The sequence below is a fragment of the Homo sapiens genome, chromosome 18 (genome assembly GCF_000001405.40).
Source record: "Homo sapiens chromosome 18, GRCh38.p14 Primary Assembly".
Taxonomy (NCBI): Eukaryota; Metazoa; Chordata; class Mammalia; order Primates; family Hominidae; genus Homo; species Homo sapiens.
In genome coordinates, this window is record NC_000018.10 from 827,161 (window position 1) to 832,845 (window position 5,685).

Here is a 5,685-nt window from a genome sequence, read left to right on the forward strand (position 1 = left end):
CTTCTACAGAGTAACAGAACCAGTAGGATGTAATATACATAGAAAGACACTTATGAGAAGGAATTGGTTCACATGATTATGGCAGCTGAGAAGTCCCAGCATCTGTAGGGTGAGTCAACAGCTATAGACCCAGGAGAGCAGGTAGGGTAGGTCCAGGCAGAGTTTGAAGGCCTGAAAACCAGGAAGCCAATGAAGTCAGGGAAAAAGCCAGTGTCTCACACTGAAGGCAGTCGGGAAGATTTCTTTCTTTCTTTCTTTTTCTTTCTTTCTTTCTTTCTTTCTCTTTCTTTCTTTCTTTCTTTCTTTCGTCTCTCTCTCTCTCTTTCTGTCTCTTTCTTTTCTTTCCTTCCTTCCTTCCCTCCCTCCCTCCCTCCTTCCTTCCTTCCTTCCTTCTCTCTCTCTCTCTCTCTGTCTCCCTCTTTTTTTTTTTTTTTTGACTCGTTTTTTCACCCAGGCTTGAGTGCAGTTGCCTGACCTCACTGCAACCTCTGCCTCCCGGGTTCAAGCAAGTCTCCTGCCTCAGACTCCCGAGTAGCTGAGATTACCAGCACGTGCCACCACCCCTGGCTAATTTTGTGTTTTTGGTAGAGATGGGGTTTCACCATGTTGGCCACGCTGGTCTTGAAATCCTGACCTCAGGTGATCTGCCCACCTTGGCCTCCCAAAGTGCTGGGATTACAGGCGTGAGTCACCGCACCTGGCTAATAGGAAATATTAATGCATTTAATAAATACGGCATACCACTACTACTTCTTTGATTTTATCAGATAAATAGTCTTTCCAAATATTGAGTTGTGATACTCCTGCATTGCAGAAACCATTCACTTACATTTCTGTTTTCTCTTTTTTTTGAGGCAGGGTCTCTGTCATCCAGGCTGGAGTGCAGTGGTGTGATCTCGACTCACTGCAGCCTCGACCTCCCAGGCTCAAGCAATCTTCTCACCTCAGCCTCCTGAACAGCTGGAACTACAGGCGCGTGCCACCATGCCTGGCTAATTTTTATATATATATATATACGTATATATATATATATATATATGTATATATATACATATATATATGGATATATATGTGTGTGTGTGTATATATATATATATATATTTTTTTTTTTTTTTTTTTTTTTGTAGAGGAGTGGTTTCTCCATGTTGCCCAGGCTGGTCTTAGACTCCTGGGCTCAAGTGATCTTCAGGCCTTGGCCTCCCAAAGTGTTGGGATTACAGGCATGAGCCACCACGCCCAGCCTCATTTACATTCCTGTCTTCAATTCCTAGTATAGTGCCTGGTATGTAGTAAGCATGTGATAAAAATTTTAAGAATATTTAGGGCCGGGCGCGGTGGCTCACGCCTGTAGTCCCAGCACTTTGGGAGGCCGAGGCGGGTGGATCATGAGGTCAGGAGATCGAGACCATCCTGGCTAACACGGTGAAACCCCGTCTCTACTAAAAATACAAAAAATTAGCCGGGCGCGATGGCGGGCGCCTGTAGTCCCAGCTACTGGGGAGGCTGAGGCAGGAGAATGGCGTGAACCCGGGAGGCGGAGCTTGCAGTGAGCCGAGATTGCGCCACTGCAGTCCGCAGTCCGGCCTGGGCGACAGAGCGAGACTCCGTCTCAAAAAAAAAAAAAAAAAAAAAAAAAGAATATTTAGTATTGTTGTCTCTGAGAAAAACATAAGTTATGTATCTAAATTCTGTAGCCCTATAAGAAAATCTGTGTGTGTGTGTATATATATATTATATATATATATATATTTTTTTTTTTTTTGAGACGAAGTCTGGCTCTGTTGCCCAGGCTGGAATGCAATGGCGTGATCTAGGCTCACCGCAACCTCCACCTCCCGGCTTCAAGCGATTCTCCTGTCTCAGACTCCCGAGTAGCTGGTATTACAGGCATGCACCACCACGCCTGACTAATTTGGTGTTTTTAGTAGAGATGGGGTTTCTCCATGTTGATCAGGCTGATCTCGAACTCCTGATCCCAGGTGATCCACCCGCCTCAGCCTCCCAAAGTGCTGGGATTACAGACATCAGCCACCACGCCTGGCCGAAAATCTGTATATTTTTAATATACAAAGTTTAAGAACAACTAAGTTTTATTTATGCAAAAATGTTTATTTGATTTGAAATGAAACTTTGGAGAAGTTATAATAGCAGAAGTCAAATGTCTTCTTTTCCTTTGTGTTTCTTAATTATGTTGCCTTTTTAACCTTTCATTCTAAAATAGTTTCTATGAACAACTAAACAAGACATGATGGTTGACTCAATCAATAAAATATACAGTATGTTTGCATCATGACATATTTAGATTTCAGTGGCACAAATATAATATTACGTTATGCCAAATAATACTTTATATTTTTCAAATTATTTTATTATCACATTTGATCCGTATAACAATCTTAAAAGATGAATAGGTAGATGTCACTACCCCCATTTTACAGGCGAGGAAACTGAGGAATGAGAAATGCAAACCAGTATGCCAGTCACCAAGTGTCAGATTAATTACTGAGCTAGAGGCCAAACGAGGTGGCTCAAGCCTGTACTTGCAGCACTTTGGGAGGCCGAGGCAGGCGGACTGCTTGAGCTCAAGAGTTTGAGACCAGCTTGGGCAAGAAAAAGAATTAGCAGGGTGTGGTGGTACATGACTGTAGTCCCAGCTGCTTGGGAGGCTGAGGTGAGAGGCTCGCGTGAGCCCGAGAGGTTGAAGCTGCAGTGAGCTGTGATTCTACCACTGCACTCCAGCCTGGGTGACAGAGCAAGACCCTGTCTCAAGGTGATGAAATGATTAGAATTATCCCAAATCTACTATCCCGAATGGTATAGTTATTTTGTATCATTGTATAATTTTCTCCTGCTACTCATTCCTTCAGGTTCTAAGGGAGAGTAAGTTCTAGTTGGTTTCCAAAAGCCCCAACTTAAATGGCTTCCTGGCAATTTTGATCTTAAAGATTGTCTTTTTTTAAGCTGGCCAGAGCAGCTGGCATAAAGAGAGAAAAAAAAGATTATGTCTTTTCTTCTTCTCTCTCTCTCTCTCTCCTCTAGTACCTAGAACACATGCAGAAGGTGCTTAGTATACTCGTGAGCAATGAATACATAAATAAAATGAGTTTAGAAGAGACCTGGGAAAGTCTGGGTAGTGGAATGGGAATACTCTTCTTTGTTAGAAGATAATAGATACCTCAGCACTGGGACATCAGCAGTGATAATCCTGCGTCACAGTTGGTGAGAAGCAGCGGGAAATCAGGGGGAAAGGAGGTAGAGGCAGGCACAGTGGCAGCCCAAGGAAATGAAGGCAAACTGTGGTCATGAGACCAAAGACAAGGGGAGCTGGGGAAGGGAATGATGTCATCAGAACAACAATAGAGGAAGATGGTTTTGGCAGCAGCTTTTGAATAGACTTTGAAGAAAAAAATCAGAGAGAGGGGAAAAAGGAAACGGGAAACGGAAGTCTGTTGAGAACTCAGCATGACATTTGGAGTGGGTGGAGAGCTTCCTGTATAGCTTGATGTTTGGAACATCTGGTCACCTCTTACAATAACAAAACCTTAGAAATTTCAAGCTTTCTCAAGTGGCCAGCTTAGAATGAGTGTGAATTCCATGGCCAAACCGTCATTGCCAGAAGACAGGAATATCTAAAGAAAGAAAAATTCAGACAGAAACTGACTCTTAACACTGAGAACACCCCCACTAGTTTTTTGATGTAAGTAGTCCTATTTGTCAATGTATCTATGCTTTATTTTTGGAATACAGTATTGGCTTGGTATTAAATTTAAAGTGTTAAGTCTACTTTAATTCAATTATCTCAAAGGGCTAAGGTTAATCAACAGATTTACAAAGAAAGCAATTGTTTTCAAAGCTTATGATTTTCACTACCCATTTTTCTGGTGTATTAATTTTTGCTAGAGTCCATACCTTGTTTCATTTGCAATATTGGCTGAAATTTTCCACAACTCAATTGTGCCCTCTAGTGTTTATTAGCATTTAGTGACGGCCACTTTGGATGTTTGTTTGTTTGTTTGTTTGAGACACAGTCTCGCTCTGTTGCCCAGGCTGGAGTGCAGTAGCATGATCTCGGCTCACTGCAACCCCCATCTCTCAGGTTCAAGCGATTCTCCTGCCTCAGCCTCCCAAGTAGGTGGGATTACAGGTGCCCGCCACCATGCCCAGCTAATTTTTGTATTTTTAGTAGAGATGGGGTTTCACTGTGTTGGTCAGGCTGGTCTCGAACTCCTGACCTCGTGATCTGCCTGCCTCAGCCTCTCAAAGTGCTGGGATTACAGGCATAAGCCACTGCGCCCAGCCCAATCCCAGGTCTTCAGACAAGGTAAACTCATTGTCAACCAGAAAATGTTTAAATTCACCTATAGCCTGGAAGCCCCAGCTTTGAGCTGTCCCACCTTTCTGGACCAATCCCATGTATTTATTAAATGTATTTGATTGATGTCTCATGCCCCTCTAAAATGTATAAAACCAAGCTGCACCCCGACCACCTTGGGCACATGTTCTCAGGACCTCCTGAGGGCTGTCTCATGGGCCATGGTCACTCATATTTGGCTCAGAATAAAACTCTTCACATATTTTAGAAAGTTTGACTCTTTCTGTCGACAATAGGGAGGTGCTGTAGGATGTTAGGCACATTATTACCAGCTTCGCCATGTTTTTGAAAGTTTTTATTATAATTCTATTGCTAATAGTGTGGTTAACCTCCATATAATAATACAGTAGTCCCTCCTTGTCTGTGAAGAATACATTCTGAGATCCCCAGTGGATGCCTGAAATCGCTACAGTACCAAACTCTATAGATACTGCGGTTTTTTGTAGATATAGACACACACATATCCCTATGATAAAAGTTAATTTATAAATGAGGCACAGAAGAGATCAACAACAATAACTAGTGATAAATCGAACAATTTTAACAATATGCCAGCATCCCTACCCTTGTGCTTTGATGCCATCATTAAGTCAAAGAAAGCTTACGTGAGGGAAGTGGCTCCTGTAAGGGCGCAAAGCAGCGTGGCAGGGGTCCGAGCTGGGGTTCTGTCCCCGCTGGGCTGCCGCCCCAGCTGGACTACCGCCAGGGAACTCAGCGCCAATTACCTCCAGGAGAAGCTGCAGCGGGACCTGGAGGCGGAGCATGTGGAGGTGGAGGACACGACCTTCAACCTGTAGCTTCCGAGTCCTGGTGGTGTCAGCTGCTGCTTCAGAGACACCAGCTGGTGAATGCGTGCCTAGCAGAAGAGCTCCCACACATCCATGCCTTTGAACAGAAAACCCTGACCCCAGAGCAGTGGGCCCGTGAGCAGCAGAAATGAGGGACTGGAAGCTGCACAGCCATTAAATTATAAATCTGGACCCCCCCCAAAAAAACAACAAAAAAACTTACATGAGCACACACTCTTCAATACCGTGACAGTTGATCTGATAACTGGGCCAGCTACTAAGTGATTGATGGGCAGGTAGTGTAGACGGCATGGAGACACTGGACAAAGGGATGATTCACAACCAGCCCCAAGCAGGAGGAAACAGGACAGCGAGAGATTTCATCCTGGTTATCAGAACAGCGCGGGAAACTTATTAATTGTTTATTTCTGGAATTTTTCATTTTTTTTTTTTTTTTGAGACGGAGCCTTGCTCTGTTGCCCAGGCTGGAGTGCAATGGTGTGATCTTGGCTCACTGCAACCTCT

At 43.8% G+C, this 5,685-nt stretch overlaps 1 pseudogene, besides 1 other annotated feature; it reads left to right on the forward strand.

Moving 5' to 3' along the window:
• Positions 3,164-3,730: an enhancer, noted in NCBI's record as "NANOG hESC enhancer chr18:830325-830891 (GRCh37/hg19 assembly coordinates)". NCBI's record gives its function as "activates a minimal SCP1, AML or CMV promoter by ChIP-STARR-seq in naive H9 embryonic stem cells {active_cell/tissue: H9 hESC(naive)}" and the evidence as "EXISTENCE:reporter gene assay evidence [ECO:0000049][PMID:30033119]".
• On the forward strand, positions 4,983-5,354 carry BOLA2P1 (bolA family member 2 pseudogene 1; annotated as a pseudogene).